This window comes from Homo sapiens, chromosome 14 (genome assembly GCF_000001405.40).
Source record: "Homo sapiens chromosome 14, GRCh38.p14 Primary Assembly".
Taxonomy (NCBI): Eukaryota; Metazoa; Chordata; class Mammalia; order Primates; family Hominidae; genus Homo; species Homo sapiens.
Window position 1 is genome coordinate 23,699,299 of NC_000014.9, and position 22,514 is coordinate 23,721,812.

Below are 22,514 nucleotides of genomic sequence, written 5' to 3' on the forward strand. Positions count from 1 at the left end.
TAATAAATTTCTGCTGTTTATAAATTACCCAGTCTAAGATCTTTTGTGATAGCAGCAGGAATGGACTAAGTCATAAATTGGTGCCAATGAAGCAGGAAATTTCCCTGACCTTTTCGTGGGCAGGAACTGGAGTGCATAGGCACTAGAAATAGTCAGCTGCTTTGGTGCCAGCAGAGTGGACTCCACTTGCTTGGTCCCACTGCATTCCACCCCTCACAGGAGGGGGAGCACAGGTGAGTGGGTGCAGGAGCCGGGGTGAGTGCTTTTGGCCACCGGCAGGAGCAAAACTCCATGTGGCCTCGCGGCAGCATCTATGGGGGTGCCCATTATCCCTGAAGCCCTAGAAAGAGTGTTACAGTCAGTGCTCTTTTAGCTTTGCCATTCGCGGTTGGCTTAAGTGTTAACGGCTCAGTGGAGGGTCAGTGTGACAGCCTTTTGCACTGACACTCGAGTTCTTATTCAGTGTCCAGGAGGAATAAGGTTGCACAAACAAATTGGAGATGGTAAATGTGGGGGATTTTATTGCCAATGAAAGTGGTTCTCAGTGGGAAGGGGAGCTGAAAAGTGGATGGTGTGGGAAGATAATATTCCCCTAGAGTCCAGCTGTCCCTGGCTGAACTCCTCTCCGAAGCAATGCCATCAAGCCGTCCCTTTGAAGTCAAGCTGCTTCTCTCCAATGTCCAACCATAGTCTCTGATGTCCAGCTGCTTCTCCTCTTCTCCTCCCTCTGCTGATGGGGCCTGGGGATTTTATGGGAATAGGATGGGGGGTGGGGCAGGCCATGGGAGGTTTTGGAAAAGGCAACATTTGAGTGGGAAAACAGGATGTAAACTTCTCACTTTGGGCCGTGGTATTAGGCTTTTCAGCTTGTGGGTGGGGCCCTCACCATGGATTCACCCTCTTCTGCCCAGAATTTCCCTGCCTCTTGTCACTGTCTCCAAGAAGTGGGCCATGGACTCACCCTCTTCTGCCCAGAATTTCCCTGCCTCTTGTCACTATCTCCAAGAAGTGGGATGCTTCCGTAACAAATACCTAAAAATGTGGAAGCAGCTTTGGAACTGGGTAATGGGTAGAGGCTGAACCATAAAGGGCTATTTGGATGAGGACTCAGAAGAGGGCAGCTGTGGAGAGAGCCTCAATCTTCTTAGAGATTATCTAAGAGGTCATGAACCGCATGTTGTGAACAGAATATGGACAGTAAAGGCCATTCTGAGGAGGTCTTAGATTGAAATGAGGAATACCTTATTGGAAATAGGAGGAAAGGCCATTCTTGTTACAAATTGGCACAGAACTTGGCTGAGCAGTGTCCATGTCCTAGTAGTTTGCAGGAGGCAGATGTGAACTAGGATATTTCATGGAAGAAATCTCTAGGCAGAGTGTTGAGGGTACAGCATAGCTTCTCTTGACTTCTTAGAGTAAAATGCAAGAGAGAGAAATGAATTAAAGATGGAATTTATAATTAAAAGGGAAACAGAACTTAAAGAGTTGGAAAAATCTTAGCCCAGGTAGGTTGTAAGGAAATAAAAGGTATATGCAGGAGAGAACACCAAATGGTGTGCTCAAGGGAACATTTGATAAGGAGATTAGAATGAAGAGAAGGAAGCCAGATGCTATTCATCAAGACAATGGAAGTATGCCACTGAAGGCATTTTGGAGATCTTCAAGGCTGCCATTCCCATCATAGGGCCAGGGTGCTAGAGCCTTGAGGGCAGAATGGTTTCAAGGGAAGGGCGCATGGTGCTGGAGAAGCCCAGGGAACTTGTGGGACCTCCAAACTCTCTGTCCAGGGCTGCCTCAAGTTTCTGCTCCTCACATTCTGGTGCAGCATCCCTTGGCTGCCCTGGATTGGCTGAAGTGGTGTTGGTGTGTTGGGCTGCCCCTCCAGAAGGCACAGGAATAACCCTTGGTAGTTTCCACATGGTACTAACTATGCAGGTACACAGAGCACAAGACCTGGGGGGCATGGATTCCTCCACCTAGATTTCAAAGGATGCCCCAGAGAGCCTCAGGGCCCAGGCAGAGAACTGCCACAGGAGTGGGGCCACCACAGACTGGTGGAGTGGTGGGAGTGAGGCTATCCTTAAGACCCCAGGATTGTAGAGCCACAAGTATGCAACGCCAGCCTGTGAAAGCTAAAAGGCACAAGACTACAACCCATGAGAGCTGCAGTGTGGAATGTACCCAGGAAAACCAGTGAGCTCTTTCCTTCCATTCTTTCTGCCATGTGAAGATACAATATTTGTCCCCTCCAGATGTTGCAGCAATGTAGACACAGAGAGAAAGTCCTCACCAGACACAGACTCTGCTGGAACCTTAATCTTCAACTTCCCAGCCTCCAGAACTGTGAGAGAATAAATTTTGGGGCTGGGTTGCCCAGGGCCTTGGGGGACAACCCCTGCCCCAGTGTGTCTAAAAGGTGAGACATGGAGCCAAATAAGATTATTCTCAAGCCTCAGTATTTAATGAGTAGACAGTGTTGTTTGCCTTATTGGGTTTTGGACTTACTTTGGACCTATTGCTTCTTTTTTCTTTTCTATTTCTTCCTTTTGGCAGTTCTGTAAGGAGCAGTTCATTTCAGGTTTGGAAGGCTGTTGGAAGAGACATTTTCCATCCTGGGTCAGGAGGAAGGAGGTATGGGCTCCAAGAACCCTTCCTAGCTCCCTTATTTCCAGAGGCAACTATACCTTCCTCCCTTACCAAACAATTTTTACTCTGTCAGAAAAATTTTCTTAAACTTGGAAATAGGCAGAAGAGATGACAGGGCATTTACCAGTGTAGTGGGCTTAGTTTTCTATTGTCTATTGTCTTTGGGCAAAAGTTAATGTTTGGTTTTTGTTTGAGATGTGAATAATTTCTGTCCAATACAACAGATGATCCTAAAGGTTCTGGTTTGTTTTCTTGTTGGACTTTAACCAGTCTCTAACCCAGCAATCTTATGCTAATATTTTCTACAAATATCTAGCTTCTCAAATGTTCTTTGAATCAGTTATAACATCTTATTGGTTTCCTGAGTTGAATAAAACTTGAGAGTCATGAGAGTCATGATGTTACATTTTTTTGAAAATTATACTTTAACACTTTTATTGTGTACAGAGGCAAACAAAAAGGAGAAGTTATTAGACATTGCAGAACCATCTTATTAATTATGCTGCTGAACTTCTCTCTCTCTGTTTACCTTTCACATGAAGAAAAGTTTGTTCTTTTTTCTGAAGAGAAAACTCTCCAGTCATCCTTTATCATTCTGTAGCTGCCATATAATACTCTGCTTCCTCAAAAAAGTAGTTTGAAAAATTGTCTAAATTGTCTAAAAAGTTGTCTCAGACCAAATGTTAAGGCTGTACGTAAAAAATATTATGAATATGTAAAGTTGATGTTAGATAGGTTTGGAAAGTTTCATGCCTATGTAAGGTAATTACAATGACAAGAAAGGAATTCTTTGTGTGCTCCTACTGACTCTTAACTTTGCTATAAAGTTTCAACCTCTGCTAGGCACTTTCAGGATCTCCACCTGCCCTTTACCTCCACTAGCTTTAATGAGCTCTTAAAGTAAGTGAAGACTTCCAGCTGCAACAACTCTGCAAAGACTTTCTCTTGTATCGCCATAGAAACAAGACCTTCACTGTAAAAGAAAAAAATCACATTATAATGAGGAAGACTGCTATAAAATAGGGATTAATGAGTTGAATAGCAAACAGGGAGGACTTGTAGTAGGAAGGAACTAAGTGACAGCAAGGACAGTTGGAGGAAGGAGATAGGATTAATTGTGGGCCTCAGAAAGGGGAGACAAAATGTACAGTCTAATATTTGCACTATGAGCCTGAGTTCTTACATACCACAGTTTCTGAGTGCAAGCTCCCACTATGGTGATGGTGAAGCAATAAGCAAAATATTCATGACCCTGAGTTGCTTCTAGATATTATTTTTGGAGATTCAGCAAAAAATGACAGATGAGATTTAATGAGCTTAAGAAAAAGATTGTGCAAATTTATAAGAAAAATACGATGCCTAAGTAGATAATGGGCAAAATTATCAAACATAGTGCATAACAAGTATAGGAGAGGAAACATAATTTTCTCCTCCACCCTTCATATTTCTTAGCTGGGACTTTATGCAACAAAAGGCAAATTAATAAGAGAAAAACAAGCAGAAGTTTAATAACATGTATACCTCATGTATTCGGATGGTGCAAATGTAATAGCAATTTTTGCATTGTTGAAAGTTACTATTTGATATTGAAATACATTCTTAAATACATTCTTAAATGTGGTTATGTTATACACCATTTTAATGCACATTTCTCATTTTATTTTATTTTTTTGCTAATGACTTAATACTTGCTGTTTATTTTATATTTATTTTAGACTATGGAAATGATGTTAGACAAAAAGCAAATTTGAGCGATTTTCTTATTTGAGTTCAGAATGGGTTGTAAAGCAGCAGAGACAACTTGCAACATCTACAGTGCATTTCGCCCAGGAACTGCTAACAAACGTATAGAGCAGTGGTAGTTCAAGAAGTGTTGCAAAAGAGACAAGAGCCTTGAAGATGAGGAGTATGGTGGCTGGCCATCGGAAGTTGACAACAACCAATTGAAAGCTATCATAGAAGTTGATCCTCTTACAACTACACGAGAAGTTGCCAAAGAACTCACCTTGACATTTCTACAGTCATTTTGCATTTGAAGCAAATTGGAAAGTTGAAAAAGCTAGATAAGTGGGTGCCTCATGAGCTGACCAAAAATCCAAAAAACTTCATTTTGAAGTGTCATCCTCTCTTATTCTATGCAACAACATGAACCATTTCTCGATTGGATTGTGACGTGTGATGAAAAGTGGATTTTATATGACAACAAGTGATGACCAGCTCAGTGCCTGGACCAAGAAGAAGTTCCAAAGTACTTTCCAAAGCCAAACTTGCACACAAAAAAAGCATGGTCACTGTTTGGTGGTCTGCTGCTGGTCTGTTTTACTACAGATTTTTTTTTTTTGATGGAGTCTTGTTCTATCATCCAGGCTAAATGGGCTTCCAATGGAACCAAAAAAGAGCCTGCATTTCCAAGACAATCCTAAACCAAAAGAACAAAGCTGGAGGCATCACGCTACCTGACTTCAAATTATACTACAAGGCTACAGTAACCAAAACAGAGATATAGACGAACAGAACAGAACAGAGCCCTCAGAAATAATACCACACATCTCCAACCATCTGATCTTTGACAAACCTCACAAAAACAAGAAATGGGGAAAGGATTCCCTATTTAATAAACGGTGCTGGGAAAACTGGCCAGCCATATGTAGAAAGCTGAAACTGGATCCCTTCCTTACACCTTATACAAAAATTAATTCAAGATGGATTAAAGACTTAACTGTTAGACCTAAAACCATAAAAACCCTAGAAGAAAAATTTTGTGTTTTTTTAAAGCCAGTTACAAAAAAGGCAAAGAAAAACCTTTTGTAGTGTGATTGTTTTTTCTTATTGGAAGCCCGTTTAGATAATCTGGAAATTAAACTATTAAGTTTATGTCAGAGAAGACTACTGTTTAATTTTGACCTTCAAGATGAAACATTTTAGCATTAGGCTATAATAACAGAACAGGAGCTGACAAAGACTGAAGAAGTTACTATCTTAGGCCTTTTCCAGGGAAAGAAAGCTGAAGCTGTGGGACACAGCAAGTTGAACTTTTGAGATACGATTCTGAGAAGGTTTTTTATTGTTGTTGTTTTAAAGAAACATTTACAATTTTAAAAACTTATAACCAACTTAATTAAATACAAAATTTCTTTCATAAATTCCCTTTTATGAATCGTTTATGACTTACACAGACCATTTATGACATGCTTGGACTTTCTGACTTCTTCTAATCACCACTTTTTTAAAAAAACAACCAGTCATTTTATTTTAGAGTTTACTATAGAAGATTGTTTTTCTATAAATTTTTTATAACCTTCCTTACTAAAAATTCTGCTTTACCTTTTTTTAACTTTAAATGAGGTTTCAATGTTTACATTTTAGTTTGATTATAAACAATGAGTCTTATCTCAGCACCAGCAGCTTAGTAACAGCAGATTTAAAGCAGGTAGAAAAACAGAGGCAGAAAACTTTCAAAGACTTAACTCTATAGTGCAGGTTAACCATTTGAGCTTTGAGTTTTCCTGTTATAGTTTGCCAATCAGTTTGAAATGTGCACAAAAAGAGGCTGTAATAGGTAACCAGCTAGAGTTTTAAAGAGAACAACAAAATCAGGGGTTAGGATGTCAGAATCTGCCTTCTCCTTTTTAATGCTGGACCCCTGGATTGAACAGGAAAAAAAGAAAAAAAGAAAAGAGAGGAGTGGAGAGGAGAAGGTTAAGCTTTATAGGATGGCTTGTGAGCCTTCCAGCCACTGCACATTGTAGTTCAGGGCTAGCACCCCTCCCACCCTTGTTTTTCTTCCATCAGAGAGAGCCTTAGCACCCTAGACTGCAAAGTGTGGGATGAATTCTTCCCACCTCCGCAAGTCACGAGTTAAGGTGAGCTGTTTTCTTTTTTTTTTTTTTTTTTTTTTTTTGAGACGGAGTCTCGCTCTGTCGCCCAGCAGGCCGGACTGCAGACTGCAGTGGCGCAATCTCGGCTCACTGCAAGCTCCGCTTCCCGGGTTCACGCCATTCTCCTGCCTCAGCCTCCCGAGTAGCTGGGACTACAGGCGCCCGCCACCGCGCCCGGCTAATTTTTTGTATTTTTAGTAGAGACGGGGTTTCACCTTGTTAGCCAGGATGGTCTCGATCTCCTGACCTCATGATCCACCCGCCTCGGCCTCCCAAAGTGCTGGGATTACAGGCGTGAGCCACCGCGCCCGGCCAAGGTGAGCTGTTTTCAAAGATGAGAGCCCATTCAGCTGAAAGCCATTGAGGGTTGGGATTCTTTCGTGGGGGCCCTTTGGCTTTCAGGGCAGTTCCATTTCCAGTGGCCAAGCATGTAGCCAAGCAGGCAAGCTGTGTGAGGTTTTTCCCCATTAATCTCATTGAGGCAGTTTGTCTTTTAGTGGCCTGGCCCTCTGCACCAGTGGCAGTTATTTGGAGGAGTGTTTTTTTTTTTTTTTTTTTTTGAGACGGAGTCTCGCTCTGTCGCCCAGGCTGGAGTGCAGTGGCGGGATCTCGGCTCACTGCAAGCTCCGCCTCCCGGGTTCACGCCATTCTCCTGCCTCAGCCTCCCAAGTAGCTGGGACTACAGGCGCCCGCCACTACGCCCGGCTAATTTTTTGTATTTTTAGTAGAGACGGGGTTTCACCGTTTTAGCTGGGATGGTCTCGATCTCCTGACCTCGTGATCCGCCCGCCTCGGCCTCCCAAAGTGCTGGGATTACAGGCGTGAGCCACCGCGCCCGGCCCTGGAGGAGTGTTTTTAGAGTAGTCTGGAGTGGGCTGGGGCTTGTAAAGCAGCCAACAGTTTAGCCTGCCTTTTGTCTTTGCATTTTTTTTTCTTAGCCTTGTTTTCCTTATTCTGCTCTTGGTTATAAAGACTGAGGAGGCTAATTTGATAATTTTCTGCATAGAGGCCATGCTATGTTACACAAGAAAATTAGACATTTCTTTTTGAGGGTTTGGGGGTCAACTTTGTCCTAGAGCTTTAGAATAGAGCCTAGAGGCGAGTCAGAAGGAATTGACAGGGGTTTTCCCATGGTGGGACTGGAAAACACACAGCTGGGGGCTAATTGAACTGTACTTTCACTTGGGGCACTTCACCAATGAAAAGGGTTTCACTTATGTCAGCTGAGAGACTCAGGGTGCACTTTCTAAAGGGGCATCCCACCTGTTGGAAAAGACCATTTGGAGCTCAGGGGTCTTATACTAGATGGCTAGTCTAGGTACTGTCTTATACTGGGTGATTAGCCCAGGTACAAGGGAAAAATGTGTCAGGAGTTGGTTCCTTCTGGTGGGTTCGTGGTCTGGCTGACTTCAAGAATGGAGTCACAGACCTTCGCGGTGAGTGTTACAGCTCTTAAAGATGGCATGGACCCAAAGAGTGAGCAGCAGCAAGATTTATTGTTAAGAGCAAAAGAACAAAGTTTCCACAGTGTGGAAGGGGACCTGAGTGGGTTGCAGCTGCCGGCTAGGGGGTGGCAGGCTTTTATTTCCTTATTTGTCCCCTCTCATGTCCTGTTTCTGTCCTATTAGAATGCTCTTTTCTCAATCCTCCCCATGATTGATTACTTTTAGAATCCTGCTGATTGGTCTATTTTACAGAGCGCTGATTGGTGCATTTTACAGAGCACCGACTGGTGCATTTTACAATCCTCTTGATAGCTACAGATCACTGATTGGTGCGTTTTACAATCCTACCTACAAAGTGCTGATTGGTGCATTTTACAACCCTCTTGTAAGACAGAAAAGTTCTCCAATCCCCGCTTGACCCAGGAAGTCCAGCTGGCTTCAACTCTCAAAAGGGATAAAGAAAGATCTCTGCTTAGTGTGGGTCCAGGAGAGGGGGTGGGTGGGGAAAGACTCACTGTTCTGAGGCTGTCTGAGATCGCCTGATTTAGCAATGTCCAGGACAGGACAACTGGCTGAGTCCATAGGAGAATTCAGAGTGAGAAAAAGAGGGTCTAAATCACCTAAAACGTGTATGAACTCACTCTGAACGAGCTTCCACTGTTTGTTGCATCACATGTAGGGACTAGGGACTTTTCAACCAGGAAAGATAGGAGAGAGAGCCTTCCTCCCTTCTGGGCAAGGCAGCCAGCTCTGTTCACCTTTTAGCTTTCAGGCAACACCAGAGAGTGGCTTCGTCAAATATTATACCATCAATTTCCAGAGAGATACTAGAAGCCAGCTACTGAAAGACTGAAAAGAATAAGCAGAGTTAGGTCCCTCATCTGAATGAATGATGGTGGTTAGACACTTTCTCATGGACACCTTTTAGTCCCACCCTCAGTGTAGCTCTGGCCAGAGACCTGCAATCGTCTCCATGCTTAGATGCTGTCCACTGAAGGTTCCAAGTTGGAAAAAGGGAGATGGGAGAGAGTTCCCTATGAAGAGAGAGAGTTCACGTATGGGCCACCAAAATGTCTCGGGTGAGCGATGACTATTTGGGCTGGTGGTGCAGGAGTAAAATAATTTACTGAGACAGTTGTAGGTAAAGAAAGACAGATTTATCAGAGAAAGTGGGAAAACACATTGTGAGGAGGCAATGGGCAGGTCAGCAGAAGAGAAGCTGACTTCCAGGAAACAAGGGTTTGATGGAGATTTTATAGCATAATGTTTATGTTGTCTGTTGAAGAGGGCTTTGTGCAGTATTGATAACACCAAGGTTGCAGTGAGCTAACTTGCAGGTGTTTGGTGATAGTTTGGCACAGGAAGATTGTGAGTTATTTGTGCAGGAGGGCTACGTGTCTTAGGCCATAAAGAAAGGCCGACTTATAGCTTATCTGCTTTCCCTTATTCCCACTAGCCTGACTCCTTTTCCCTAATTAGGACTCCACACTAACCATGGGAGGAGTGTAGGTTATAGTTTAACTTTGAAGCAATGATGATAATAGTCTTTCCTAAAACTAACCCTTGCAAACACCTTGCTCAGTGACCAAAACTGCCTTTGTAAAACTAATAAAAGCCGATGAGATTAGGATTATGGCAGGGGCCCTAATTCTGCTAGTATGTAGGCATAGTTAGATGATAACCAGCCATTGTTCTGGAGGTCACAAACTTTGCAACTTTCCCAGTTGCTCCCATAGATAATATCACTATTGTAGTTTCTACAATAGTAATGGTAAGTTCTTTTGAGATGTTTTTCTGATTTTTACATCCTGAGACTGACTGAGTCCACCTGGACCCTTGACTCATGACTCAATCAGTCCTATGGCACCTACCCACAGGCTGACTCAGCACACAGGACCATTTTCTACACCCCTATGTTTTCATCCCCAATGAATCGGCAGTACCTATTCCCTAGCCCCCTGCCTACCAAACTATCTTTGAAAAATGCTAGCCTCTGAGTCATTAGGTAGGCTGATTTGAGTAATAACCCCTGTCCTTCCACTAGGCTGGCTTGTGATAATTAAGTTCTTTTTCTATTGCAATACCACAGTCTCAGTGAATTGGTTTTGTCTGTGCTGCAGGCAGGAAGAACCTTTTGGGCAATTATACTCACTGTACTTTAACCATATTGTTCTCTTTCTGTTTCTTCGATAGGCCAGGCTTGCTCCAGCATTAGGACAATTGCATTAGCTGTTCTCTCTTCTTGGGACACTTCTCCCTTAGATAAGTGCATGGTTTGCAACCTTACCTCATTCAGATCTTTATTCAAATGTCACCTTTGTATTGACCCCTTTATAAAACTGCACCTCTCTACCATACTTTTTTTCCTGGCTTTATTTTTCTTCCTAGCACTTATCACTATCTAACATTCTATGTGGGACCTCCATTTCAAGTCAATCTATCTACAAAGTTCATCACTGTCTAGTAGCCTTGAAAAAGGTTTTAAATTTTAAAGCCCAATTAAATTCTACATTTCATTGCACCGCAAGTTATTGCGTGTTTCTAAAAATAAGACAAAAAGAAGGACCTTTGAGTCAAATCAAGATTTACAAGGGTATTGACTCTAAAATGTGAAATTAGCTGAGTGAGAAGCCCTCTTTCCTTGTTATGTGGTAGTCACAAAGATGACTGAACTTGTCCTTACTGCAGCTTAGCTATCTCAGACCAATGTCTATTAAAGCTGGAGCTTTAGGAAACTTGTTAGAAAAATATCAGGGTGTTAGAAAATATTGGCAGTTTCTTGTGACCTTTAGTAAGGTCTTACCAAAAAACAAGCCAAAAGGATAAGATTTGAACTGAGCTGACCTGGCTGAAAGTAGAAAGGGAACAACATACAACTTTGTTAATAATTATCCCTCTGCCTATGGGTGAGATTGCTGAGGCTCGGTTAACTATGCTTCTTATAGAATTGCCAAAACCAAAATTTCCGCCCTGTTTTAAAATTAGCATAAAAGGCAAGGAGGTGTGAAACACAGCAGGGAGATAAAATTGGGATACCTGAGAGGCCAGAGAAATGAAGGAAGCTGGAGTCCCTGGGCTCTTCCCACATACCTCCTTTCTCAAACTATCTGATTCAAGGAATCTTTCTTCCTATTTGTTAGGGTTAGCCAATGGGCTGCAGGCTGGTCACAGGTGCACATCATTCTGCCTCACCTAGTGTTTCACCAGAGGTTTATTGCCTTCACCTTATTACTTTCCAAGAAGGAAATGATTAAATTTAGGCCTAGGGCTACAGGCAAAGTTCTGAGGCTATAGAGACAAGACAGAGTACAGGTCTGTGAACCCAAAGGTTCTAATGCCTATTAGAGTTTTATTGGAGTTGGTTATCAGTGAAATTCCAAGCCTAAACAAAATGGTAACTTATGTTTCCTCAGCCTCGAGGGCAGTCATAGGCCCCCACCTCTCATAAACTATGTCAGCAGGAAGTGGGCTGCTAGAGAGGTTCAGTCTCCAGAACAGATTTCTATTTTATGATGTTTTCTATACCCTTCTTAGCATGGCCATGGATAAAAGAGGTCTCCCAGTGGGACTGCAGGCAGGCATATTGGCTGACTAGTAAATTCATTCCTTTGCCGAGACAAGAACTCCATGCTATCCCTGCCCAGAAATAAGTACTTTCGGTGGATGGCTGCTGTTTGTTTCCTTTTCCAGATGATAGTATGTTTTAATTTAAAAATTTTATATTTCCTTTCACCATTTTATATCTGCTGGGGTGGTAAAATGTATCAGTTAATCATAGGTGCATAGCCATGAGGAGAAAGATTTGAAATGAAGAGGAATGCCCATATTTCAAGGATCTAGAGTTGGAGCTGGATGCAATAATAACATTACATTTGGTCATTTCTCTTTCAGAATTAGGATATTTTCATTTATAAATGGGATAGTTGCATTGCACTAGGTGGGGACATTTGTGATACTATATGTATGAGAAGAAAGAATGCTAAACATCCAAAGGGTAGAATATAGTGGATATATATTGTTCCTCTATCCAGAATCTCTTCTTTGGGGGAAACATCCTTTCCCTACTCCGTGTGCACCTGGGTATCAGCAAAAGTGTCTGCCCTATGTCTTGGTTGCACACCTGCTAGAGACTATGCAATCAGCATTCTCCATTCACCTGGCCACAGGGTTGGTTTGGGGATCGGTGCATGACTTAAGATGGGCCAGTTAGAATTGTCGCTGAACTCTTGTGATAAAGCTAAGATTTTTCTCATTCCGATTTATGATTCTGAGAGTATTTGAAATTTGGTAACTAACTATGGTGGTCTTGGAAGAAGTCCATCTGAATAAGGAGGGAATAAGGCAGAGGTTTAAAATTAAATTCAGAATTAAAAGATGAAGCGGAGGATAAAAAAGGGGATAGTTGGAGAGATAGAGATCCAAACCATTTTCTGAAAACTATTTCTGAGTGTCCCTGGGTCTATCAATAGCTGTGACAGAAGCCAGCTCTACCTGTATACTTTCCATTTATACTATACAATAAATTTCTTTTTTGTTAAATGAGTTCAAGTTGGGTTTCTAATACTTGCAACAGAAAGGGTCCTGATTTAGGCAGTAGCTACCACTCAATCTTCCATATACTGCAAAGCAGCCTGGCTCTTGTCCTCACCACTCCTCTGCAACTGCTCTTGTACCATTGACTTTCTGGTTTCTAAAGCTGATGAATCTTTTTCTGTATTTACCTTCCTAGATCTTTCTACTGAGTTTGATGCTGTTTATAACTCTTTTTCTTGAAATTTTCCTCCATTGATTTTTGAGAGATGCTGTTCTTTTTGGTTGTTGTTGTTCCTACTAAAAAAATTTTTTTTATCTTCCAGGCCAGTGCTTATCTCTAGAATGATTTGCTTCCAAGTGTTATGTTCTAGACTTTCTCATTGTTTCAGTATACAACTTCTCCCTGGGCAACTTTGTTCATTTCTGGAGCTTCTATTGCTATCTATACACTGAGTACTTCAACACTTTTATCTTTAGACTGGAGTCTCCTGATTTAAAGTCTACTGCCTTCTGGATGTATCTGCTCAGATGTCCTTCAGCCATCTCAAAATCATCATCTCTCAAATCTAACTTTATTGTTTATCCACCCAATTATACTCTTCTTCTAATGTTCCCAATCACAGTGACTGGTACCACATGTAAGCATTTGCTTTTGTAAAAAATCTGAGTATGATTGCTGACTCCTCTTTTTCACCCTGTCATCATATCTGTGGATTATGTTTCACAGATATTTCTCAGATCCATAGCTACATATCCATATCTCACTCACCAGGGCTACAGAGGCCACGCATTTCACAGCTCCAGGAGCACCAATCTCTAGGTCTCAAAATGAGTGAAATCTTGATGGCCAACGGATCTGATTTAGGTTCTCTTAATTTCTCACATAGGTTACTGCTGCAGCTTCCTAATGTTTTCTTCACATCCAGGCTCTCATTTCTCTTCAATCCTTTCTCCAAATGTGGCAAAAGATTTCTCCTAAATGCAAATGAGAGCATATCACATTTGTCCTACAAATTCCATTGCTTGCCCTACCTTTCCGCCTTAATCTCTTACCACTTCAAATATCTTTTTATACTTTTGCCTTACCAAATATTTGGAGTCCTCAAATGTGCCATGCTTTCTCCTACCAGATATATTTGCATCTATGCCCCTGTGCTTTGAAAATACATGTTTATTTATCTTGCTAACTCTTATTTATCTTTCTAGATGCAGCCCAGGATTAATTCTCCAGCCCACTCCAGTTTGGGTTGGCAGCCTTTCCTATGTCTTATATTCACACTTTACATTTACCTCTATTATAGCACATACACATCATGTTGAAATATGTTTTTACTTATCAGTCTTGTTCATTAGATGGAAGTTTCTTAGGGGAAGAGACCTTGAGTTATTTTTCTGTGTATTCCCAGAGCCTGGCAAATCACCTAGTGCATATTAAGTGCTCAATAGTCTTAAGAAACTCGGAAGAAGAAAAACAGTTTTTGGTATCTGTCCACTGCCTGCCAGCATTCCAGTCCCATCTGTCTGGAAGGTGGAAGGGAGGGGAAGATGTTCCTTAGTAATTGCTATTCATTCACTCAACATTTATCGAGTACCCTCCATTGTCAGTTATCATGCTAGGCACTTTCACACCGTCAGATCGTTTAGTTGATTCAACCACATCATCAGGAAAGCATTTTTTTTTAATTTTAGAAATAGGGCATTCTATATAGCAGCTTTTTTTTTTTTTTTTTTTTTTTTTTTGAGACATGGTCTTGCTCTGTTGCCCAGGCTGGAGTGCAGTAGCACCATCATAGTTTACTGTAACCTTGAGCTCCAGGACAAAAGCAATCCTCCCACCTCAGCCTCCCGAGTAGCTGGGACTACAGGTGTGAGCCTCTATGCACAGCTAACTAATTTTTTTTTTTTTTGGTAGAGACAGAGGTTTTTCTATGTTGTCTAGGACAGTTTCAAACTCCTGGCCTCAATTGATCCTTCTGCTTCAGCCTCCCACTGCTGGCTTGGATTACAGTAGTGACCAACCCAGCCCTACAGCAGCATTATTGAAGCTAAGGCTACCAGAGTTTTAAGTTCAACAACTTAACAATTTAGCCAATTTTTGTTGACTTAAATAAGCCATCTATTGCCAGTGTTCGATGTGCTCTCTTTGGCAGCACACATATTGCCAGGGTTTCATATGTTCTCCACTCAGCTTTAAAGACATTTTTAAAAAATGAAACTTCCACGTTTATGCAGCCAAAAGACACATGAAAAAATGTTCATCATCACTGGCCATCAGAGAAATGCAAATCAAAACCACAATGAGATACCATCTCACACCAGTTAGAATGGCGACCATTAAAAAGTCAGGAAACAACAGGTGCTGGAGAGGATGTGGAGAAATAGGGACACTTTTACACTGTTGGTGGGACTGTAAACTAGTTCATCCATTGTGGAAGTCAGTGTGGCGATTCCTCAGGGATCTAGAACTAGAAATACCATTTGACCCAGCCATCCCATTACTGGGTATATACCCAGAGGATTATAAATCATGCTGCTATAAAGACACATGCACATGTATGTTTATTGCGGCACTATTCACAATAGCAAAGACTTGGAACCAACCCAAATGTCCAACAATGATAGACTGGATTAAGAAAATGTGGCACATATACACCATGGAATACTATGCAGCCATAAAAAATGATGAGTTCATGTCCTTCATAGGGACATGGATGAAGCTGGAAACCATCATTCTCAGCAAACCATCGCAAGGACAAAAAACCAAACACCGCATGTTCTCACTCATAGGTGGGAATTGAACAATGAGAACACAAGGACACAGGAAGGGGAACATCACGTACTGGGGCCTGCTGGGGGATGGGGGGAGGGGAGAGAGATAGCATTGGGAGATATACCTAATGTTAAATGACGAGTTAATGGGTGCAGCACACCAACATGGCACATGTATACATATGTAACAAACCTGCACATTGTGCACATGTACCCTAGAACTTAAAGTATAATAATAATAAAAAAAAATTCCTGTTCAAGATGGCAGACTCAGCCCACATTTTGTCTCCACTCATTTTTGAGATGTCATTGAAATAATATTACATGAGTATAAAAAACACCCACATAGCAGTGAAGTAAATAGAATTAGATGGAGGTCATTAGTTGCTTAGAGATTGTGTCAGTTATTAAATCTATTGTCTTTCGGCTGCAAACACACCCTTTGTGCCCCTGCTTGTGGAACTAAAACATTGCCTCCGTGCAGCACAGCACGCCATGCACAGCTCCTCCTGGGGCTCCAAAAGCAGTTTCCCAGTGAGTTCCAACGGTGTGGCACCTCTGTGTGCATGGCTCCCCCCAGTATTTCCTTGATGGCTTTGTAGTGAGTTCCTAGGCACAGGACCTTCCTGAGATGCTTCTCCTGATACCCCAGAAGGTGGCTTTCTAGTCACTCTTCCTAGCACCATACCTCAATGAGCTTATCCACCACCTAGTGAGTCATGAGCCATGCAATGCTCTCTCCAACAATATCTGAATCAAAGCCCTGGGTGCAGGGGAACTTCAGATTTGCTCCTTCCTCAGGGGCTCTGTTTCAGCCTGGAGAAATGGTTGCACCCTATGTCTTCTATTCCTGTTTTGGTAAGAGTTCTGTGGAAAAATTCAAAGAGACTCCCTTTATTAAGGGTTTGAGATATACATTAGTGCAGAGACCGGAATCCTTGCAAATCTCTGTAGTGGTTTTATTTGTTGGCCAGATATGACTGTAGAAAGTGTTACTCACTATTGAGATGGCCTCCCTGATTTCAGTGGGAATAATGGGTTTTTAGAATAGCAGAGGACTGGTGGTATCACTTAACCTTCAAAAACAAAGTAGTACTTCTGTTGTAAAGAGCAACAAGGACATGCTGATTGTTAGAATGCCTCGGCTCACAGAGATATTTGGCGGAGGCAATTGATCACTGTGTTTGTAGAAAAAAGATAGATGGTCATCCTACTAAATTATTGTTTGACCTATATAATAGGAAATACTCTAGATACAGTAGTCAGAAACCTGACTTGAGTCACCACAGTGGAGAGTCATGATCTCTTACTCAGTTTCCAAATCTAAGTTAAGTCATGGATACAGAACCTCTTGATTAAAGGGGAGGCTGAGTCCTTTTGAAGAATAACCCTATATCATTTCCACAAATACATACCATAAATCTTCCTCCAAGCCTTCACCAAATGTACTGTGATAATTTACTAGGTAACTGTTCATTAGAGGAAGAAAATACCCAGACCTTGCTGGGGTTGGTAGACACTGACTCTGAATTGGCATTGACTCTTGGGGACCCAAAGCACCTCTTTGGTCTACTATTAAAGTAGGGGCTTACAATGGTCAGGGGACCAGCGGAGTCTGAGCTCAAGTGGGCCTAGTCATTCCATAGACTCACCCTGTTGTTATTTCCCCAATTCCTAAATGTCTAATTATAATAGGCATAATTAGCAGCTTGAGGAATCTCCACATTTGTTCTCTGACCTGTGTGGTTATATATATATCATATATGATATATATATGATAAAACCCATCAGATTTATAGATCTAAATATAGAAAAAATGGAAATTTAGAATATTATTTAGGTATAATCTTGAAGTGGATGAAATATTTTGAAACATGGCATGAAACCCAGAGCTCATCAATGAAAAAGATAAATATATCTGGGTATATAGCAATTTAACTTTTTTTTTTTTTTTTTGAGATGGAATCTTGCTTTGTTGCCCAGGCTAGAGTGCAGTGGTACAGTCTTGGCTCACTGGAACCTCTGCCTCCTGGGTTCAAGCAATTCTCTGCCTCAGCCTCCCGAGTATCTGGGATTACAGGCACCTGCCACTACACCCAGATAATTTTTTTTTTTTGTATTTTTAGTAGATATGGGGTTTTACCATCTTGGCCAGGCTGGTCTTGAACTCCTGACCTCATGATCCACCTGCCTCGGCCTCCCAAAGTGCTGGGATTCAGGCGTAAGCCACCGGGCCCAGCCAATTTAACATTTTTTTATATGGCAAAAGATACCGTAAACAAAGTCATAGACAGATAGTAGACTTAGAACAAATATGTGCAAACATGTAATTTATAATATGCAAAGGTTTCCTATAAATTGATTCCCAAAAAACCCTCAAATAGCTCAATAAAATAATGGATAAAAATGTGAAGAGAAAATTTACACAAGAATATAATCAAACGATCCATAAACATGAAAAGATATCTCACCCCACTAGTAACAAAAACTCAAATTAAAGGAAATATGCAATAACATTATTAGTATACCTCATGATCTTCACCTAAATTAAAAGCAATCTAAATTCCTTCTCCTAAATTAAAAGGAATCTAAAACTAACAGCCTGATTTTTACCTTTTGACATCTTTCTCTATGTGTAAAAATATGTGTAAAATGTGATTAGAAATGTAGAGAATTTTGTTTGTTTTTCTAAAACTGGTATATATCTCTGTAACTTGTTTTTCTCATGTGATAAAATATAAGGAACATTCATTCAAGTAAATAATAGATGTGGTTTTTTAAAAAGCTGCATCATAATAATAATCCATTGAATGGATATGCCATAATTTACCTAACCATTAATCCATTTATTGGACAGAGAAAATAGTAGGAAGTATACAAAAGACTAAGACTTAGATTGACATCAAACCCCTTGTCAGCAATAGTAATGTTAGAAGACAATGGAGCAATGCCATGAAAGAGGGATATTTTCTTTTTTTCTTCTTTTATTTTTATTATACTTTAAGTTCTAGGGTACATGTGCACAACGTGCAGGTTTGTTACATATGCATACATATGCCATGTTGGTGTGCTGCACCCACTACCTCGTCATTTACATCAGGTAGATCTCCTAATGCTATCCCTCCCCCCTTCCCCAACCCCATGACAGGCCCCAGTGTGTGAGGATATTTTCAACTGATAAAAGTTTACAATTCCTGTAGAAGATACAACAGTCATGAACTTTTATGTTTCAAATAAAAAGGCAGCCTGATGGCTTTTGTCAGGCCACATAACCCAACATGGCTGGAATGGGCTTGCTTACCTCTTTGAATTTCTATCCACACCAATCCCCACATAAGCGAAATTCAAATACACAGTGTGACAGGGTGACCAATAGTGAATGAAATGAGCCTTATACATTGCTATTAGGAGAATAAAGGGGTACAGACTTTCTGAAAACCAGTCTGACAGCTGCACTGAAAACCAGTTTTACAGCTGCACTGAGACTTTAAAATATTTATATCTATCATTCATTAATTCTACTTACCTGAAGCTTTATCAGTAAGGATGAGCACGGCATTACATATAATAAGGAAAAACTGAAAACAGCGTAAACACTCAACAACAGTGAAACTGTTAAATTAATTATGGACCATTATTAGGTGGCATATACATCTTTTAGAAATAGTATTTTTAAAGACTATACAACGCCAGGAGGAATTGCTCAGGATTAAGGATTTTAAAAGTCCCAAACAAAAACCCCAAGAAAACATGGATTTAAACACTGCATTGTAAAATATTTTGTAGCCTGGAAGTTTGCTTCTGGAAGTTACTGTAAAATCTCATTAGACTTTTAGTTAGAAAGAGAAAAAAATCATCACAGAACATAGACTCAACTGCAAACTTGTAAAACTAGACATTCAAGGAGAAGACAGTGGAAAAGTTTATTGCATATGAAGGGGCATTAGTGCTTTGGCAGAGAATAAGAGAGTCCCTTGCACTTAATGCACAATTTGTTTTGTTAGCTAGAATTGAATAACAATATTCTGGGTGTGTTGGTATACCACTGAGAATAAGCATAGTCACTGTCCTGAAGAAATTTAACATGCCATGTCAGAATACAGATAAGTACGTTATCAACTGAAACAGGTAATTATGGTCATTACAAAAGTGCATTAAGTGAAAAGGAGAATCATGGTTGTGTTGGTGGCTTGGACATCAAATGATTACTCTTGACATGGGGCTCACATTTAAAATCTCCCCATGGTGACCCATTATCCTGTCCTAACTTTGCCTCCCTTCCCTTCTGGGGCATTCCCACTATCACACACGGTACATGATAGTGAGAAACATCATATCAATATCATATGATACATGATAGTGGATTATACAATCCTCTGACTCCCATTTCTTCTTCCTTTCCCACTTTCACCCTAAGGCAAGCAAGAGCTCTTTGCAGGATGGAGCCACTATAGACAGATTCTGAGGGGCTGACCTATACTGGGGTGTGGCATGTGTCCACACGCATGGGCCTGAACTCAAGGGGAGTATTCTGGAGGAAGAGAAAGAGGAAAAAGAGAGAAGAAGGGGTGGAGCTTGAACCTAATGTTTAAGTATTTGTGCACAAGGGAGACAGCACCTGGGAATCCATGGATGGAGCTGACACCATTACAAAGCAACACTTCCATAAATCAGAGGCAAAGGCAATTGGGTTCTGTCCTCAGGTAAGGTAAGGTTCTGTCCTCTCCAGAGAGGCATCTTGTCTCCTAGGAATACTGGGTGGAAATGTCCCCTCAGGGCTGGGACTATGAAGACAGGCTGCTTCCTTTGTTGAGTTTACTCCCTGCACTACAGGATGCCAGAATGGAGCTGGGCGAGCGCTTGCCCTGCTCACCACCAGGAGTGACCAGATTGTGGCCAGGAAAGGGCTCATGGACTAGTCTGCAGTAGTTGTACGCCTCTGTGTGTGAAGTACACATGCTTCTCCAAGTTCTGACCCTGCCTTGTTACCCTTTGGCTATGAGGTTCTTATTAGAAGAAATACTTTCTTTTAAAACAAACTTTTTTTCCCTGAGGATAAAAAACCAAATCTCTATTGGGCTGCAGAAGCCAACAGCCACTGCCTGAGGCACTACTGAGCTGGCTTCACTCTTAGGGGCCTGGAGGCTTTCCTCTCCTCAGACCGGTACCAGTAACCGGTTCATGGCCTGTTAGGAACTGGGCCACACAGCAGGACGTGAGCCGCGGATGAGCAAGTATTACTGCCAGAGCTCTGCCTCCTGTCAGATCATCTGCAGCAATAGATTCACGTAGGAGCATGAACCATATTGTGAACGGTACATATTAGGGGTCTAGGCTGTGCACTCCTTATAAGAATCTAAGGCCTGATGATCTGAGGTGCAACAGTTTCATCCTGAAACCATCACCCTCTCTTCCCCTGCCCTGCTCCATCTGTGGAAAAATTGTCTTCCACAAAACCAGTCCACGGTGCCAAAGAGGTTGGGGACCGCTGCCCTAGGCAACTCCTTCCAGACGTCTCCCACTGATTTCCATGTCTAGGAAATGTGGGGTTGAAACAGCAGATTTGGACCATGGTAATCTTTCAGCAAATCTAAGAACACTACAGTTTTTATACAATTTGCCCAATTGCTTGTGTGCAACTTGTTCAAATCTTAAAAACAGATTTCACTATTGGAACTTTAATAAGTATTGACATTTGAAGATAAACTTTCAAAATCCTCTGTGGTGTTACAGCATATTTTTAAAGATAGGATCTTTATAATATAAAAGCCAGACTTAGAAAAGTTGGTAAGAGAAGAAAAATAGAGAGTCAAAGGAAAGCAAACGCTTGAAGCCCTATCACCCAAAGAAAATTGCTTTTGAAGTTTTGGTAAATTTCATTTCCATTTTAATAATTTCTGCCTTTATCTTTTTTATGACCTTTCTATTTTGAGTTTATCTGCTATTCTTTCGGAAGCTGCGTGGTTTAAAATAATGCTTTTACAATTTTCCATCTTTTTAAAGTGATTTCCAATGAATATATCTAAAACTAAATATCTATCTATTTTTTCCGAGTATTGCTTTGGCTATATTAAATACACTTTAAAAGTGTGGCCTGTTCTTATTGTTCATTTCTAAGTATTTATAATTTATGTTTTAATTTATTCTTTAACTGAAGAATTTTTAATAAGGCCACTTGATACAGTTGTGTTATCTATAGTTATCTATAGTTTTGCTGTCCAGTGTGGTAGCCACATGTATTAGTCTGTTCTGTTCTCACATTGCTATAAAGAAGTACCTGAGACTAGGTAATTGACAAAGAAAAGAGATTTAATTGGCTCATGGTTTCAAGGCTGTACAGGAAGCATGATGCTGGCTTCCTTCTGGGGAGGCCTCAGGAAACTTACAATTATAGTGGAAGATGAAGGGGAAGCAGGCACATCTTACATGGCCAGAGCAGGTGGAAGAGAGACAGACGGGCGAGGTGCTACACACTTTTAAACCACCAGATCTCCTGATAACTCACTCACTATACAGTACCAAGGGGGCATGACAATAAACCATTAGAACTTCACCCATGATCCAGTCATCTCCCACCAGGCCCCACCTCCAACATTGGGGATTACGGTTCAACATGAGATTTGGGTGGGGACACACATCCAAACCGTATCACCACATGTGGTAATGAGCACTTGAAGTGTGGGTAGTCCAAATTGACATAGGCTTTGAGTGTAAAACACACACCAGTTTCGAAGACTTAGCATGAAAAATTAATTACTTTTTATATTGATTATATATTAAATGATTGTATTTTGGATGTGTTAAGTTGAATAAAATAAATTATTAAAAGTAATTTCACCTGTTTCTTTTTTACTTTTTTAAAAATGTGGCTACTAGAAAAGTTTAAGTGACTAATGTGGCTTGCATTTGTGGTTCACATTATATTTCTATTTGATTGCATTAAGCCATAGTTTTATTCTTGAACTGTTGATTCCAGAGAGAGATGTGTTAAATCCATCTACTCAGATTCATAACGGATTGTGAGGGAGTGTATCTTTTATCAACATAAAAAACTGTATCCTTCTTTGTCCTTTTTAATGTCTTTTGCCTTGAATTCTACCTTTTTCTGATTTTCATATTTCTATGCTTGCTTTCTTTTCATGAGCATTTTACTTGATGTATCTTTCTCGACTCCTTTATTTACAAATGTCTTGCTTGTTTTTATTTTAGGTGAATCTTTTGTAAATCGTATATAACTGTTTTT

The 22,514-nt window shown here is 40.9% G+C and overlaps 2 long non-coding RNA genes across 8 annotated transcripts in view; one reads left to right on the forward strand and one right to left on the reverse strand.

The window, feature by feature from the left end:
* Positions 1–172: 172 nt before the first annotated feature.
* LOC105370410 (uncharacterized) lies at positions 173–5,099 on the forward strand. 2 transcript variants are annotated; one of them, XR_943617.3, is made up of 4 exons: positions 173–233; positions 2,253–2,416; positions 2,554–2,631; positions 4,362–5,099. It is a non-coding gene; the product is annotated as an uncharacterized LOC105370410 (long non-coding RNA). The 2 variants fall into 2 exon arrangements; XR_001750658.2 differs by lacking the exon at positions 2,554–2,631.
* Positions 499–22,514, reverse strand: part of LOC105370409 (uncharacterized) — a 29,969-nt gene continuing 7,953 nt past the window's right edge. For 2 of the 6 annotated variants that reach the window (XR_001750657.2, XR_007064080.1), the window contains 6 exons: positions 15,960–16,138; positions 13,272–13,477; positions 3,520–3,619; positions 2,506–2,588; positions 1,242–1,409; positions 641–740 (listed from right to left, as the gene is read on the reverse strand). This is a non-coding gene — a long non-coding RNA (uncharacterized LOC105370409). Of the gene's footprint in view, positions 741–1,241; positions 1,410–2,505; positions 2,589–3,519; positions 3,620–13,271; positions 13,478–15,959; positions 16,139–22,514 lie in introns of all 6 variants that reach the window. The other 4 variants (XR_007064082.1, XR_002957608.2, XR_007064081.1 and 1 more) reach the window with 3 other exon arrangements.